The sequence below is a fragment of the Homo sapiens genome, chromosome X (genome assembly GCF_000001405.40).
Source record: "Homo sapiens chromosome X, GRCh38.p14 Primary Assembly".
In the NCBI taxonomy this organism is placed as follows: Eukaryota; Metazoa; Chordata; class Mammalia; order Primates; family Hominidae; genus Homo; species Homo sapiens.
This window is the reverse complement of record NC_000023.11, coordinates 32,423,600-32,442,982: the sequence shown is the minus strand read 5'-3', so window position 1 is coordinate 32,442,982 and position 19,383 is coordinate 32,423,600. Positions and strand designations below refer to the sequence as shown.

Sequence of the window (19,383 nt, the reverse complement as noted above, 5' to 3'; positions counted from 1 at the left end):
TATTCCTTTGTTTAAAAAAAATCCACACACATATGAGTGAAAAAACAATTGTGCTTAATTTCAGTATTACAGTAATGGTAAACTATAATATAGTTTTTTTAGGGCTTTGTCTTTCACCCAACATATTTGTGTCTGAGATTCATTCTTATGGTTCTTTTTGATGAGATTTTTCATTGTCACGTCTGTATTCTCTGTTTAAAGATGACGGTATATTTTTCCATTCTCCTTGCAGTGGACATTATTTCCTTTTTTTTGATTACTACAAAAAGGGCTGAAATGATCATTGTTGTAACAGTCTTGTTATCCATGTTAAACAGTTTCTCTGAGGATGCACATATCAAAAAGTGGAGTTGTTGTCTTGATGGGTATGTGAATGTTCACCTTATTGAGAATAACAAATTGTTTTCTGAAATGGCCATTTCAGTACACACACCCACCAACAATAAATACAAATTTTTGTTCATGTATATCTTCTCTCACACGTGGAATTGTCAAACTTCTCATTTGTGTCAATCAACATGGTATCTCATTGTAATCCTGGCCTACATGTCCTTGATTACTAATGAGATTGAACATATCTTCATGTTTAATGTATATACATATTTCTCTTTAAGATTTTGGTTCAGGTTTTCTTTTCATTATCGATTGGGTTATTCATCTTCTATTTGACTTGCTGGCATTTTTCATATTCTTATGTGTTACAGATGTTGCAGTTGTTTTCTTCTATTTTGAGTCTGTTTTTCAATTACTTGATGGTGTCCTTTGATGAATAGAAGGTCCTAATTTTAATGTAGTCGAATGTATTCATCTCTTTTTTCTTACGGTCAGTTTTTTACGAGATGTCTTACTTAAGATATTCTTCTCTATGCCAAAGTCAGAAATATTTTCTTCTATATTTTCTTGTAGAAATTTTAAAGTTCTGCTTTTTTATGAGTACTTCTGTGTATAAATCAGTTTCATAATACAAATTAATGGCCATTTAAAATAATCAAACCTTTGAATTAGTGGTAATATTTCCGATAATATACCTCAAGGAAATAATAAGAATGTGGAAAAATAGTCCATATTCACGATGATGTTTACCATAAATTTATAATAGCAAACAAAACTAAAAGTAGTCTATCTAAAAAAAGGAAATTGCTAAACTAAGATAGAGCCACTTTAAAGAAGTCTTAGATTTTCATTAAAAATATGTCTTCTTAGTAATACAGAAAATGGTATGATATAATGTTTAGTGAAAAGAGAGCTATAGTTAAACTCACTTAAATTTTAACTATCAAATTATATATGATAAATTTCAGAGGAGGTCACAGAATACTGGTAACAGTGATGTGTGAGGGAGTTAGATTTACATATGCATTTTTACATATGCTTTTATTTTTCTGTTTCCCAGACTGCAATGTTGGTGCTTATTTTTATTTTAAAAAGTAAATTACTGTCTTTTGAATTTATTCATTATTCATGTAATAAAATGTTTTCTTAATGACTTTTGATTGTAGAGGTATTAGATGATGAAACTGTCTAGCTGCATTTTGAATTACCTGCTACAAAGTAAAGGTGAAAAATACAAAGTGTTATATTTTCAGAAGTTTTAATAATGAAATGGCAAAATTTCACATTTACTTTTCTACCATAATATTTAATCTGTGATATATATTTCTTTCTTAGGAAGTTTGGGCATGTTGGCATGAGTTATTGTCATACTTGGAGAAAGCAAACAAGTGGCTAAATGAAGTAGAATTTAAACTTAAAACCACTGAAAACATTCCTGGCGGAGCTGAGGAAATCTCTGAGGTGCTAGATGTAAGTTGTAAATTAAGCCAAATGATGATAATTTATATGCAGTATTAAAAGAGGTCAAGTACCAAATAGAAGACAAATCCAAAGAAAACAACCCAAGAGAGTATAATTACTATGTTATCACTCAGCACTGGTACTTTGGATAAAGCCTTTGTTCCCCCTAATAACCTTCTAGGTCACAAGATTTTGCAAAGGGTTTAAATGGCTTCTCACAGAGGAAATTTGCCTTTATTATATCACTAAGTTCTACATAGATGCTTCACCTAATTAAATGTACCACAAACCTGCAAAGACAGTGTGAATAAACAAACTCACTGCTTTAGGGCTAATCGGGATGATAATATGAAATATTATTTCCAGTTTAAAAGCTGCACGTATTGAATTGGAACCTATTTTATACTTACTTAAAATCACAAATTTACACCTTACGGAATGTTTTGAGTTATTAAATGGATATGCTTTAATATTGGAAATATATCTTTAAAGTATTCATAAAATGTAAGTACATTTTTAAGTTTTACTTTGGAGACTTTCAATAATTAAATGAGTTTGCATTTATAAACTTGACTTTAACTTCTGACATTTAATCATTCAAGCTCTATGCATTTTAGTGTACTTTTGACTTATCTATATGTAATGAATATGTTGTTTTAGAATATGTAATATATGTACGTAAAGCTATAAGTAGTATAGCCCCTCTGTAAATCTATAAAATAAGGAGCATAAATTATTCAAGATGTGAAGAAAATGTAAGGTATTTCTTTAGACAGAATAGAATTTGTAATCCTAGAACATCAGAGTAGACACCTATAGATCATTTTATCCAACTTCCTAATTTTCAAAAGGAAATTATAAAACCTGAAAAGATATTAAAGTACAATGAAGTAGATCTCCAGTGGACTTTAATTTTGGCTCTATCTGACTATGACTATAAATTTGTCGTATTCAGAGAAGTTAATTGACCAAACATTTCTTGTGAATCAGCAATGTGTTACATGTTCTAGAAAAGTTGCAGCAAATTTACAGCACATTAATAAAAGGACAGTGGCCAGAACAGAAGATAGGATGATGCTGTTAGCCTATGAAATTGTCAAATCGTACATGGAGCACCATGCTAAATTCTTGCTCTCACAGTTTCAGTGATGTGCTGAAAAACTAGGGCATGTTCACAAAGGAATGTTAAGGAAAGAGAGAAAATTTGAAGCCATAATGAAGAGCATTTAGAAAAGATGGGGAAACAAAACTTACCATTACTATTTACTATTTTAGACGAGGCCCTCACAATGCCCACAACACAGACAAGCAGGGAGGAGGAAAATTGCGAGTGCTCTTATCTTTTATTTCTATGTTGTGGTCATAATTTCAAATTGTTCCTAATTCAGATAATGGAGCCAATAAATGAAATTCCACAGTGAAAAAATAAATAAATACATACATAAAATTGGCTCTTTGGTAGTGTTGCTGATGCTTATCCAGGAGGACATTTTGAGTGAAAAGGGCTAGATCACCACGTATCAAGGATAGAAAAACTGCACGACTTCTAGGTTTTCTTGCAACTCAAGATATTTATAACTGATCCCTTAATTTTGCTTTGTTGCTTTTCATCCACCTTTAAAAAAATTTAACAAGGTATATACTTTGTTAAGACTTATAAAATAATGTATCCATTAAAATTATTTATATCCATTTTGCAAATAAATATTTACAAAATTAAGATTTGTTAGAAGTAATAAGGAATATAAATTATTAGGAAAATTATTAACAATCACATTGTTCTACTCAAAAATTTGATGGCTTTTAAAGTATTTTACAGGTTATAGTGATTTTTTTTAATATAAATGTATTTAGGAAGTCTCTTTATTTTCTTGAAACTTAATAGGACAATGTATTGAGTTTGCTCAAAATTCAAGAAAAATACATAAACAGGAAAAATTACAAATATGTATTGGAAGATTTTCATTTTTTTAAAACAAGGAAAACAGAAGATTTAATAAATTTGTGAGAACATATGCCCATCACTTATTTTATAGATATGTTTGAGGTCCAGTAAGATGAAATTGAATCCCTTGTTTTCTGGCATGCCTATGACACTGAGATTCACTTTCATCATATTATCTAGCCAGGCAACTTTGTCAATTTTGAGCAGTATAGGAGATGGGTATTATTGGGATGTACGTAACAGAGAATCAGACAACGGTTTAAGCTCACAAAATGATCTTTTCTCACCACGAAAAGAATAGTGAAGGGAGGTTACTCAGGGTTGAGGATGGTTCAGCCATATTATGAGGCGAGTAGGCACTCTCTGCTCTCTCTTCCTGAGCATGAAGGACCTCACACTCAAAGTCATTGCCTCCCAGTGCAAAGATGATTGTTATACCTCCAGGCCATGTATGTGCAAAAAAGTAGGAAGGGCAAAAGGATTCTTCTTGAGAGAGTACTCTTTTTCAGAATTGTGTCACGTGGACACCACTAGCTATCAGAGAAGTTGAGAAATTTAGTGTTTTACCTCTTCTGGTTTTAGAGTTAGGGGACGTCAAGGAAAAAGGTGGTTGTGAATCAAGTTTTAAGTTCTCAGTCCGCAACACTGTCATAATCCCATGAAGATTCATATAGAATGACATCCTATTTTTTGAAGCAAAAATGCTCCTTGGTGTTTTTAATCCCAATTAAAATTTGCTTTAAATTGATTATGACTTAATTATATGTAAATCAGAAGATACTGAGCATTTGCTGATAATCCAATGTATTTAGAAAAAAAAGGAGAAATAGTAATTATTGCAAATGTGTTTCAGTCACTTGAAAATTTGATGCGACATTCAGAGGATAACCCAAATCAGATTCGCATATTGGCACAGACCCTAACAGATGGCGGAGTCATGGATGAGCTAATCAATGAGGAACTTGAGACATTTAATTCTCGTTGGAGGGAACTACATGAAGAGGTATGAAGATAAGTGAAAAATCTCTTTAATCTAATTTGCATTAATGTATAGCAGATACAGGCCTCTCAGATAAAATGAGCAATAGTTTAAATATTAGCTCAGCTTTCAGGTTTCAGAGACAATCCAATGCCAGACACTGGGTAAATTCTTTACATGTGTATTATAGCATGTGATTTCACAAAAACATTGTAAGTTAGGATTCTTAAAAGGCAACTGAGACATCCCAAGAAGGTTACTCTGACCACAGAGTTCTTTTCCTTACTCAAGATAGACCAGTATGTGTGGGTATCCTTTCTCTCTCGCTGTCTCATTTTATTCCTCTCCCTCCATTCCACACACATTTGTTATGTCACATGTAATCTGCTAATAATACATGCAATTCTGTTAGTACCCCATATTATTTATTCTTCATAAATAACACTACATTTCTTATAGATAAATTTTCATATATCACACATGGTGTGATTTTTCAAATCAAAACTAAAACAAAATAGCAAATTTCTCCTAGTCAGTGTTTTGCATACTATCTCCTAAGAATGGATTATTTGTCAAGAAGAAAACCCATTTTATAATGATGTTTAGTTTTATATTCACTTACTGAGTACATCTACTACATGTGAGATATGGTTCTATGGTTTGATGAGTAGGAAAAATTTGCTAACCTTCATAACTTAAAAACATTGGTTAGTTAAGGAAGAGTTACTGATTTCCTAGAATGTGCAAGACATAAAAACAAATAATATAACGTATGAAGAGAAAAAAGAGAATAAGGGGGGGTAGTAACTAGGGTAGTATGCATGAAACCATTGACTAATGACTTATTGAATAGTCAATGTCGGGGACCTTTTGACATGCTTACAGATTGAAAAGGAACGCCTTGAGTAGGAAAACCTCTTCTCTATCCAATTCTGAAGAGAAGTATGTGAGGGTAGGGCAGATATCTGCAAATGTACCAGCAGCACCTCCAGTCTTGAATCCTGGGTGGCATATCCATATTTTATCCAAATCAACATAAGGAATTGGGGATTGGAAAAGGGGAATTCCAAACAATCTCTGGTCCTTCATCATTGTTGCACTATTGCTGGATCTGAGTCAAATAGATATTGCTATGTGGCAAGTAAATTGAAGATCATTTCAATGTGGGTTGTGATATGGAATTGGAATGTGTTTTTATTTCTATTTGAATATCAGTGTCAGGTAGGAGACAGCAGTTGCATCAAAAAATTAAAAGTCATTGTGAAACTGACCTTGGCTTAGCTGTGAAAAGACTCAAATTTTTTTTTTTTTAAAGACAGGGTCTTGCTCTGTCCCTGAGACTGGAGTGCAGTGGCATGATCGTGGCTCACTGTAGCCTCGACCTCCCTGGGCTCAGGTGATCTTCCCACCTCAGCCTCCTGAGTAGCTGGGACTACAGGTGCATGCTGCCACTCCCGGTTATTTGTGTGTGTGTGTGTGGAAATGTTGTTTTGCCATGTTGTCCAGGCTGGTCTTGAACTCCCGGGCTCAAGCTATCCACTTGCCTTGGCCTCCCAAAGTGCTGGGAGATACACCTGGCCAAGATCCAACTTCAGTGTTTGACATTTTTCAGTACTCATCTATTCTGTCCTTAGGAATAGCTTACTCTCTAACTTGATCTTGGTATTAACTCTATTAATGTAATTATATTGCAATCCTTTATTAACACAAAACTACTTATAACCTTCTATTTTAAAGGTTTTTGGTATAAACCCTGACATTTCCCCCAAAGAAAAAATAATTCATTTCAGCAACATACCCTGATTCAACACGTATTATCTTATTTTCTGGACTGAGTTTTTAAAGCATAAACTTTTGAATAAGAAAATACTTGAAACTTGGGCTAGAATAACACCTTGTATTAGTAGTCAGGGTCCAGACAGGGCACAGAAACCACTCAGTCACTTAAACAGAGATGGTTTAACACAAATAAGTATTAACTACTTACTGGAAATTAATTTTTAATAGGAAATAAAAGAGATCTCTAAAGAATACCTTAAGCCTGAGGAATAGTACACAAACAAGGAACTAATATGGAAAGATAGGAGCTCAACCCAAGGCTGGATTCAAACTTCTTTAGAAAGTGTGTGTCTGCCTCCCATGGGATGACAGAGAAGTTTCCTTCATTGACCCAATCCAGAACAAGTCTATAGCCAGTGAGCTGAAGCTAGTGTGAAGAGAATATTGGAGGGGAATGCTGACAAAATTCACAGGGAAGTAGCCTATGGTGGGGAACCATTGAATTTGCTAGAAAGCTGTCTGGTGTATTCATTGGACATGGTGGGAAACTACCTGTAGTGGATGCTACTAAACTTGAGGAAATGAGGTGGGGCTCCAGGAAGCTGCCTATGGATTTGCCACCCATCCTCAATTTGCTTATTGGGTACCCATAGAACTTGTCAAACACGACCCATAGTGTTGCTGAAAGTCTTCTGGGTAAAGTGGGGTGGATGAGGTGAGCCTTACTGGGCATTCCATAGGCCAGCCCAGAGTCACAGGTTTGAAAAAGAATTAAAAGCACACTGGGACAGACAAACCTCTACCTCCCCCATTGTCACTCCAGCATCCTTTACTGACAGAACTTAATATCATGTCAGCTGGCAAGGGGAGAAATGTTCCCGTGTCAAAAACAGGATCATGTTGAAAGGCAAAAAATTGATAACTGGCAAATCCCTCTGTAATTCACTGGCTATGTGATTTTGAGTAACAGTTTTAAACTTACGTTTCCTCATCCTGTTTCATAGGGGGTTTTTTTTGTGAGCAAAATATAAAATACGGCACTTAAAGTACTATGGTTCCAGGAACACAGTACATATTCAATAAATTATTCAATAAATTTAATACATGATCAGCCTTTTTATTTTGACTAGATGATATTCTAGAGTATCAGCCCTCAAAAATTGTGTGTGTGTGTTTGTATGGGTGTAAATATATATATATATATATATATGTAAGTATATATTAAAATATGTAAATATATATTTAAAAATATGTAAATATACATATATATATATCCCACTGAGGGCAGTGATTGGTAAATAAATGCAGATAGTGCAATATGAAATATAATGAAATGCACATGCCTCCATTAGTTAAATAAAATGTGAAGACAGATAAAAAGGATTTTTATCACCCTCTAAGTCTTAAAATCAGAAGCTCTCCACTTGTACCTCAATGATTAAGCAGAGTGTTAAAATAACAATAAATCTAAAATAAGTAAACTTGAAACTATTATCAGTCCTAGCTGTGTTTATATTACATATTTGGCCAGTAATAACCTGGGAGTTATTTGACAATGAAAATAAAGCATATTTAGTTTTTACGGCTTTCATGAAAACCACATCATGTTAAACATAATATCCTTCTCAAATTCTGTTGTATCAGCCTGTGATAAGCTGATTAGACCTGAAAGATACAATGTTAAATTAAAACAATGTGTAGTAATAGGACTTTTGTATTTCTCAGGCTTTGCTCAGCACTTTGATCAATTTCAAACTACTTAGGTAAAAAAGACACACCTAATAATTTATTAGCTAAATCAATCCTTTGGATATTTCCACTATCTAGTTAAAAAGACTGTTGTTTCGATGCAGTAGAATAAGCCTTGGGATAAATTATCTGAGAGGCTGAAGAAACAAAATGATTACAGTAACTGAGTTTTTAAATCAATTTAAAAAATTCTTGTTGTACATTAATGTGTTATAATCAAGAATTCTGAATTTGTTTTAGGCCATGATTCTCTTGATTTTTGGTTGGTTAAACAAAAAAGTTTTTATTTTGTGGTTATTTTCTATTTTTATTTTATTTTATTTTTTTGAGACAGAGTCTCTCCCTGAAGCCCAGGCTGGAGTGCAATGGCACGATCTTGGCTCACTGCAACCTCTGCCTCCTGGGTTCAAGCAATTCTCCTGCCTCAGCCAGATTTGCTATTAATAAACAAAGTGCCTTTTAATTTGAAGATGAGCCTTAACCTATTTTTTAAAATCAATTAAGTGCCTATGTCAGAGGTTTGTGAGGTTTTTATATCACCTACCTAATGTTTCTTATAGCTGCAATTATGCAGAACTAAGGTAACATTCAATTGCCTGTTAAATCAGTCAAACAGCCAGACTTTTATTGCCTATGAATATTTAAAAGAGATTTGCTAGATCCCATCCCTAATTTCAGAGTGTGAGTTTGCATTCAAATAAGTAATAAATTATTTCCATCACTTCAAAAGGCATCTTTCATTCTTGATAATCATATAGCACTATATTTTCTACTCACAGTAATGATTTGAAAGATGGTTAGCAAACCAGGCAACATCTCCAACAGACGTACCAAATCATATCATTTTTACAACTATTGTAATAGCTTTATTCTCTAACAGGGTAACCAAGCAGCAGAAGATGATTTAGTAATACAACAAAATGAATAATAATATTGGTAATAGTATTTGGTTACAGAGGCTCAGGTACCCTTTTAATTGTCAGATATGCATTTTCTCATTTAGTTCTCACAATAGCCTTATGATACATGGTGGTTTTTGTTTTTGTTTTTTCTTTTTTTGAGATGGAGTCTTTCCCTGTTGCCCAGGCTAGAGTACAAGGGTGCAATCTCAGCTCACTGCAACCTCCTCCTCCCGGGTTCAAGCGATTATCTTGCCTCAGCCTCCCGAGTAGCTGGGATTACTGGCACATGCCACTACGCCAGGCTAATTTTTGTATTTTTAGTAGAGATGGAGCTTCACCATGTTGGCCAGGCTGGCCTCAAACACCTGACCTCAGGTTATCCGCCCGCCTCGGCCTCCCAAAGTGCTTGAATTACAGGCGTGAGCCACCGCATCCGGCCGATATATGGTTTTTCATATTCCCATTCTACAGAAATTGAAAGGATATTAAAGGCCCTAGGAAAAAGCTATTGAGCATTTAGACCCATCTCTTTACACTTGAAGCCTAGGCACGTGACCATTTGGCTACACTACCTCCAATCTCTGTGACCCTTTTCATATATTAAAAATAAAAACTCTGCTAATAAGTGAATATGGCAATTAACGAGTTTCCCCGTTTTTAAGGAAAGCTTAAAACATGGCCTTAAAAGTATTATGGCTGACTAATTAAAATAAAATTTAGAGTCTTAAATATTAAAGTCACACATTGAGAAGTCCAAAGCCTTTACCACTTCTCTTGATGAGTGATTATTTCACCTCTTTCGTGGCTTATTAATGCCCGTATTTCAGTCCCTTTCAAAGATGTCTGTAAGTTGTTATGCCTGACATGAAATAGCAAATTTACTGAAAGGGACAAAATCTAAATTGGTTAATTCTTCTGTAATAGTAACATTTATGATAGACTCAGAGAGGGCCGTATTAATTTTTCCTGGTAATTATGACTTTGAATTTTTCCCTCAGTGTCACATCTACCTTAGCATAGATAGACCAGAACGGAAGAACATTGCTTGAAGGAAGACTATAAAGTAATCTAGGAAAATAAGTGGCATATTATGCTTTATTAATTTGTCAATATGTTTTGTAGACAATATCTGTCTATAATAATAGTAAAAGCCATTACTTTTTGAGCACAGTTTTACGTCAGTCCTTTTGCTAAGCCGTTAGAAGCAACATCAAACTTAAATCCCACATTTGCTTTATGAAATAGATTTGATTAGCTTACTTCACAGTTGTTGTGATAGGGCTGACTTCTGTTCTCAAGGGCTAGGACAGCTAAGTCTTCTGTAATGCCCTCTGGAAAGCACTAGGATGCTGGAAAATGTCTAGTAGTTGTATTTTATGTTGCTTTCAAAGAAGTATAAGTAAACCTTTAAAGGCTAGGAAAAAAATCAGATGAAACTGAAGTCATGCCGTAACATGCCTATGACCACTGACATTTGTATGGTGGAGATAAAAGCTAAGACTGGGAACCCCAATTTTAGGTGAATTAAGTCATTTGATGGAAAAGAAATATGATCCTCTGGCTCACGAAAATGGTGGAGCTAAACACAGATTCCACATAAAACTGGGGTTCTATCAGTAAGATAATGGGCAGAGAGAATTCTATCTGCAGAGAGAACAAACATAAAAAGACATCTGTCTTCTCACTGTGAGTGCAAAGTAATAGAATAATTATAATAATGTCACCTGAAAATGTGTGTTGGCCTATTCTTGTAAGGTGAGGAACTCTTGAGTGTATATTATCACAAAGGGTAAAGAAATATCCAAACAAGTGATTAAGTCAGGGTAGCACCAGGTTAGGAGCGTCCTAGCATTAGTTAGAAGCAAATGCAAATTGTTTACCATGAAAAGTGCCCTCAGTGTCCTCACAGATTAAACTCAGGGGAACTTGAGCTCATCATAAACACATAGACATACACACACTCACTCACACGCACAAGAAAAGCCCTCATGAAGCACAGTCAGCCTATACAACGAACGGTGAGTTTACTTCTAGAATTCCGGATATTAGAATTGCAAGATGTATAGTATAAAATAAATAGGTAAAATATTATAGAAATAAATGTTATTGAAGTTATAAAAAAGAAAACATTGTAAAAATGGAATAAAGAAATCAAAATTAAACAACTACAATTAAAAATTAGAAAATGAATATATCATATATAAACATATTAGTTGAAAGAAATGATTTAAAAGAAAACTAAAAGAGAATGTACAGACTGTGTTACCAAAAACTAAGGAGGTGGAAGATGTGAACAATAGGTAATAGATACAGGGGTGGGGAGTAGAATATGAACATATAACTTATCTCAATGGGAGTTTTCAAAGAGGAGAATAAAGAAAATGGAGATTATTATTATTCAATATAAAAAAATTATATAACCCAATTTAAAAATGAGCAGTTGAGCTCAAAAGGCATTTCTTCAATGAAGACCTACATATGGCCAACATATATATGAAAAGGTGCTCAAACTCATTAATCATCAGGGCTATGTAAATCAAAACCACAATGATATATGTCTTCACATCTGTTAGAATGGCAGTTACTTAAAAAGAAAATCAAGAGATGACAAGTTTGGCAAGAATGTGGAGAAAAGGGCCCCTTGTACCCTGATGGCAGGAATGTTAATTCATGCTGACACTATGGAAAACAGTATGGAGATTCCTCAAAAAAAAAATTAAAAATAGAATTACTATATGATCCAGCAATTCCACTTCTAGGGATATATCCAAAGGAAATTGAATGAGAATCACAAGGAGATTATCTGCACTCTATTGTTTATTGCAGCATTATTTACAATAGCAAAGATATAGAGACAACCTAAATGTCCATTGACAGGTGAAAGGAAAAAGAAAATGTGATATATACATACAATGAAATATTATTCAGCCCTTAAAAAATAAGCAAATCCTACCATTTCGCTGTAACAACATGGATAAACCTGGAGGACATTATGCTACATGAAGTAAGCCAGACATAGAAAGACAAATAATACATGATCCCAATCATATTATGAATCTAATACAGTCAAACTAATGGAAGGAGAATGTGGAATGCTTCCTGCCAGGGGCTAGGGGAAGGGAAAAATGGAGAGATATTTGTAAAAGGGTACAATGTTTAGGTTATACAATATAGATAATTCCTAGAGATCTACTGTAAAGCATATTGCCTATAGTTAGTCTATTTACTTAAACTTTGCTAAGAGGATAGACCTTATGTTAAGTGTTCTGTTACAGAATAATAATAATATTAGAATAGGAGGAAAGTTTTGGAGATGATGAATAGGTTTATGTCATAGATTGAGGTAATGTTTTTATCAGTGTATATTTATCTCCAAACTCAGCAACTTGTGTATGTTAATTATATACAGCTTTCTTGTATGTCATAATTTTTTTGAGAAATGGAGATGGAGTAATATATGAAGGATATTAAAGGAAAGTTTCCAAGAGCCAGTGACATAAACCACTTAAACAGAAAGCACATTATATAACAGGCAAAGTAAATAAATAGAAATCCAATCTCAGACATATCACAGTGAAAGTGCAGAAATCCAAAGACAAATTTATATTAGCAGCTAGAGGTGAGATGGATAACCTACAAAGCAATTAAATTTAGGCTGTCATTAGACTTCTTATCTACAACAATGAATAAGAATAAAAAAGCAATGGAAAATATTTTCAAGATATTGAAAAAATTACCGTCAACCTAGAATTCTGAACTCAACAAAATTAGTTCTTCAGAGTAAGAGGAAATTAGACATTATCAGAGTGAAAAAAAAGTGAAATTTTACCCCAATAGACCCTTACTATAAAAATGTCTAAAATAAGTATGAAGAATTAGAAGTAGTAGAAAAATAAGTTTTAAAGGTTTTAGATGCAATAAGTATGATGAAAAAATAGTTAAGCTTTTAAATACAAAAGGCATTTGTTGCAAAAAATATATAAGAATATCTAATTTCATTTAAAATAATGTTGATCTAAAATACTAGATTAAAAACAATATGGAGGGGAGTTACAGCCACAAGCCCTTTTATTTAGAAAGAGGGTAGAGATAGTGATTAAATGTCGACTTTATGCTGTAATAAATTGTCAAGGATAACCACTAATGGAGCATCCACCTGGGAAACAATCAAAGAATGATAAAAGGAACAGTTCTCAATCAGTACGCAGTAAAGCAAGAAAGAAGGAAAACAAAACAGAAAAATGTGAGATGAGCATAAAATAAAAGAAAAGATGGTAGAAAAATAGAAATAGAAAAAAATAGATGGTAGAAAAATACCAGCGGCCGGGCGTGGTAGCTCATGCCTTAATCCCAGCACTTTGGGAGGCCAAGGCAGGCAGACCAGGCTGCCAACAAGGTGATACCTGGTCTCTACCACAAATACAAAAAAAAAAAAAAAAAAAAAAAACCCAAAAAAAAGTATCCAGGCTTGGTGGTGGGTGCCTATAATCCCAACTACTCGGGAGGCTGAGACAGGAGAATCACTTGAACCCAGGGAACGGAAGTTGCAGTGAGCTGAGATCATGCCATTTCACTCCAGACTGGGTGAAAGAGCAAAACTCTGCCTCAAAAAAAAAAAAAAAAAAGGAAAGAAAAGAAAAAGAAAAAAAAAATACATCTGTAGTCCTAGAACTATTTGCTCAATACATTTAATATATAAATGTAGAAATTTTCAGAATAAAGCATCAAAATTCAAAATACATTGTTTTTAAGAAATACATAAAGACACATATATCGAAAATGGAAACAGATTTTCCGAAAAGGATTAATCAATAAAAAGCTTAGACACCTAATTTATTTCCAGCAAAATAGACATTATGGTCATTATCATTATTAGGCAAAAAATGGAGTAAAATATAACAGTTCTAAAACTTGTACATACCTGGCCGGGCATGGTGGCTCACGCCTCTAATCCCAGCACTTTGAGAGGCCGAGGTGGGTGGCTCACCTGAGGTCAGGAGTTCGAGACCAATCTGGGCAGCATGGTGAAACCCCGTCTCTGCTAAAAATACAAAAATTAACCAGCTGTGGTGGTGCACGCCTGTAGTCCCAGCTGCTTGGGAGGCTGAGGTGGGAGAATTGCTTGAATCTGGGAGGCAGAGGTTGCAGTGAGCTGAGATTGCAGTCTCCACTCCAGCCTGGGTTACGGAGTGAGACTCTGTCAAAAGAAACAAAAAAATCTCGTACATACCTGGGAAAATACCTTTAAAACACGTAAAGCAAAAATCCACAGAATAACAAGAAGAAATACACAACTATATCAGCATGGTGGGAGATTTCATAATGCCTCTTTCTTTCAAGACACCAGACAAAAGTTAGTGAAGATAGTGATGATTAACAGTTGATAAGGTGGATATAAAGACTGTATAGAGAACCCCAAATCAGAGTGTAAATTTCATCTGAAGTACATGGAAATGTCAATACATTTCACATATTTGGTATTATTAGGGAAATACTCTTAAATTTGTAACAAGCTAGAATCAATAGTAAAAACTTGACTAAAGTAAATAATTTGTGGATCAAAGATGAATTCAAAATGGATGGTTAAAATTCATAGAACCGAGTGATAATAAAAATAAAAATTAAAACTAATTGGTTCCTGTTAATTTTTGTAGAAGAGACGGAAGGGCTGAAAACTAGTGAGCTAACTGCCCATCTCAAGAAAATAGGGAAAAGTATAATAAATGCAGAGAAAGTAAATGGAAAGAGAAGAATTCAAGAGCAGAAATAAATAAAAACAACATGGAATCAATAAAATTTAAATGCCCATATTCATGTTTTAATTAGACAAATCAACTGAGAGGGAAGTAAAAACAAATATAAAATCTTAAGGATGAAAATGTTATAACTACAGTTATAATATATTTTTAAAATACAGAAAATACTAAAAGCTATGCAAATAAGTTTAGAAACTTACATGAAATGGATGAATTTCTAGGAGAATATTGCTACAAAAATGATGGAAGGGGATATAGAAAGCCTGAGGAGACAGAAATTTAATCACAAATTAAAAGTCTTCCTACAAAGACTATATTAGACTGAAATTATTTTACATTCAAATTTGAACACACTTTCTAGGAATAGATAATTCCAGTCATCAACAAACTCAGTAGAACATACAAGGCAATATACATGTCTGGAAAATATAAGGTTAGAAAATTTTTTTTTTTTTTTACCAAAATCAGACAAAAATGAAACAGGAAGGAAAACCCCATGCCAATTTCAGTCATAAATTAATAAGGAAAAGTTCTGAAACAAATTATTGGCCAACTGGATCCAAGTGTGTATGAAACAGTGTTTAAGCTTAATGTTCTCCCTTTCCTTTCTATATTCACTCTTTATAATACTTTATGCAGTGTCATGGCTTTAAATAAAATTTACATGCTAATTATTCCCAAAATATTATCTCTGGCACAGACTTTTGCCCTTAACTTCAGACCATATATCCAGCCTTCTATTGTGTATTTTTCTCTTTGGATATCTCATAGGCTACTCAAACTTAACATACTCAGATGACAGCTCCTATCAAAGCTACCCAACACCGTTTTCTCCACCTCTGTTAATGCCATCTCATTCCTGAAATTTCTCATACCAAAACTTTTAAAATGAACTTTGATTCTTGTCTTTCTTTACCAGCCTTTCTCTTAGCAGATCTGAAAGATGGTCTCAACAGATCTAGCTGTTGTTTTACTTTTATGTTCTGGGTATATATGCAGGTTTGTTATACAGGTAAACAGTGTGTCATGGGGGGTTGGTGTACAGATTATTTCATCACCCAGGTAATAAGCATACTACCTGATAGGTATTTTTTCTGATCCTCCCCTTCCTCCCATTCTCTATCCTCAAGTAGGACCCAGTGTCTGTTCCCTCATTGTGTCCATGTATTCTCATTATTTAGCTCCCACTTATAAGTGAGAACATGTGATATTTAGTTGTCTGTTCCTGCATTAGTTTGCTAAGTAGAATGGTCTCCAGCTCCCTCCATGTTCCTGCAAAGGACACGAACTCCTTCTTTTTGTGGCTGCGTAGTGTTCCATGGTGTATATGCACCACATTTTCTTTATCTAGTCTACCATGGAGGGCATTTAGGTTGATTCTGTATCTTTGCTATTGTGAATAGTGTTGCAATGAACATATGTGTGCATGTGTCTTTGTGGTAGAACAATTTGTATTCCTTTGGCTATACACCCGGTAATGGGGTTGCTGTGTTCTGTTTTTAGCTCTGCCAAACTGCTTTCCACAAGGGCTCAACTAATTTACACCCCCACCAGCAGTGTATAAATGTTCTGTTTTCTCTGCCATCCCAACAGCATCTGTTATTTTTTGACATTTTAATAATAGCCATTTTGACTGGTGCGAGATGGCATCTTATCGTGGTTTTAATGTGCACTTCTCTAATGGTTGGTGATATTGAGCATTTTTTTTCATATTGTTGGCCACATGTGTGTCGTCTTGTGAAAAATGTGTGTTCATGTCCTTTGCCCATTTTTAATGGAGTAGAGTTTTTAAAATAAATTTGTTTAAGTTACTTAGAGATTCTGGATGTTAAACCTTTATCAGATTCACAGTTTGCAAAATATTTCTCCCGTTCTGTAGTTTGTCTGTTTACTCTGTTGACAGAGTTCAACAGAGGAACTCTGTGAGGAAGTTGTGTAATTTAATTAGGTCTCATTTGTCAGTGTTTGCTTTTGTTGCAATTGCTTTTGACATCATCATTACATCTTTTCCCATTCCTATGTCCAGGATGGTATTGCCTAGGTTATCCTCCAGGGTTTTTAAAGTTTTGCTTTGACATTTTAAGTCTTTCATTCATCTTGAGTTGATTTTTGTATATGGTGTAAGGTTTTATTCTTCTGTATACGGTTAGCCAGTTATCCCAGCACCATTTATGGAATAGGGAGTCCTTTCCTCATTGCTTGCTTTTGTCGGCTTTGTCGAAGATCAGAAGGGTATAGGTGTGTGGCATTATTTCTGGGCTTTCCATTCTGTTTCATTGGTCTATGTGACTGTTTTTGTACCAGTACTGTGTTGTTTTGGTTACTGTAGCACTGTAGTATAGTTTGAAGTCAGCTAACATGATGCCTCCACTAGCTGTATTTCTTTGCTCCTTCTCTCATTAAATATAGTCTCTGTGTTCCAAAGTGAGGAGGAACAACTGTGAGATTAAGATTTGGTAAAAGAGAAAATGAGCAGGGCAAATAGAGACAATAAATCTGTGATGATGAAAAAATGAGAAAGAAAGGCCAGTAACTGAAATTGAATAGTAATAGGGCAGAAAAGATGTGTTGTTGATTTTCAGGATAATAAAAATTTAAGCATGTTTGTAGTATAAGGGAAGATCCAATAGAAAGACATAATATATAAGAGCAAAGTCTTACAAGATAGGATACACGAGCAAAAAAAATGGAAGGATTGACTTTGGAAGTGGGAAAGAGAAAATTGAGATAATACAAGGAGGTTCTGAGGTGGAGAGTAGTAAGTTTGAGAAAGTTTATCCACCAAGGATAAATTTATCCCTGAGAAGTAGGTAACTCTGTTTTCAGGTTGTTTAGGACTCTGCACGGTAAAGGGGGTTGGGAGAAAGGAGAACTGGTGTCATTGAGGAAATGAGAGTGAAAAGTATTTGGAATAGGAGCTCTTTTGTTTTAAAGATTCGTTTAAAATCAGGAGAAGTGTTAGAGAATAATATCGTGGACTCAGTAGTAGCCAATGAAGTTATTCGCAATGGAAATAATCAGTTATCTGACTTTCTCCCGTAATTTTCTGCAAAATAATTTTATTTAGAACCACACACATACAGCCGCATAGAAAATCAAAAGCGAAGGGATTTTTCTTTGCGTTATCTTTGATTAGCATCTCCAGGTTGTATTTGATTATATTCTGAAACAACTAGGATTCTAGTCTGAAGTATCTTCTTCCAACTATATTCATATTTGCAAGTCATTCATCTGGTTACCGCCAGTATGTCAAATGTGAATTTCATGTATTTTTTTTTTTTTTTTTACAATCTCTCTAACTTAACCAATTTAATTCAGATTTTTATGTCAGTCTTTTAGCTGTTGGCTGTTTTTCCCAAAATGTCAGGATCGGCTCCATAATTTGGGGGACTCAGGGAAGAAAGAAAATACTGGGTCCCATACTCAAAAATTAAGCATTGTAAGATGGCAACAGCAGAGCATTAAACCAAGCATGGGCTCTCCTAAGCATGAGTTACTGCATAACTGCACAGGTTGCATGGCTTTGAAGCCAATTTCGGGTGTCATCTTATACATTTGGTTATTTGTACACCTGAAATGCTTTTGATAAGGTTTGGGAGTTAACAATTTAGGCTCACTTTTATAGATTATCATTACTTGAAAATATTTCATTGAGGATAATTAATTAACAATAAATGCTTTAATATTTAGAAAGGTGAAATTTAATCTTATTCTTAGTGTGTTAATAATGGATATAGCTTCTAGGTTTACATCTTTCCATACTTTGAATTCAGGGCTTTCTTTCCTTAAGTAGTAAAAAGGATATTGGATATCTTGAATCTTGACTTCTCCTAGGTTGAATGCTCTGCAAAAAACCTTTGTCTTTATATAAAAATTGCACTGCAAGCAGACTATTATGGCAGACCTCTGTGTTCAAGGTGACTGCAATTTTCAGCTGAGTGGTGGACTATGCAACTTGTTCTCATAATAATATTAATTGAATAAATGGTCAAGAGTGATTACATTTTGAGGGGAAGAAACCCACTTGTGTAATATTTACACATAGATAATAAACTCAATAGCCCAGACCTCTTTAATGTAAGAAAAATAGACATGAATGTGTATGCTATTTTCTTTGTAAATTAGAAATTTTTCCTTCTCTATTTCATGTATCTTCTTTTGTTATTTGAGAAAGGGATTTTTCTTGTCCTACCATCAATTGTGTGAGTTACCTTGATTCTTGTTTTTAATAATATTTTAAAATACATCTTGTATTTTAAATGTAGTTACCCTCTATTTTATAGCTACAGGAACTGAAAGAGTACATAGCCTTCACAAAAGGGTCTGTGGTGAATGTGTTTAATTCTTATTTTAATCACCATGAATCATGGATTTTTTCTTTGTAAGTAGTAATTCCATTATTTTTAGATATAATTTACCCTACTTCAATCAATAATGTTTCCTTGGACAGTCATATTTACTTTTCCGAAATATTATATA

General features: G+C 34.0%; 1 protein-coding gene across 17 annotated transcripts in view; it reads left to right on the top strand.

Annotated features, from left to right (window-relative positions):
• Positions 1 to 19,383, top strand: part of DMD (dystrophin) — a 2,220,167-nt gene that overhangs the window by 896,406 nt on the left and 1,304,378 nt on the right. For all 17 annotated transcript variants that reach the window (XM_006724469.4, NM_000109.4, XM_011545467.2 and 14 more), the window contains 2 exon segments: positions 1,669 to 1,803; positions 4,593 to 4,742. In XM_006724469.4, the coding sequence (XP_006724532.1) occupies positions 1,669 to 1,803; positions 4,593 to 4,742 (285 nt within the window).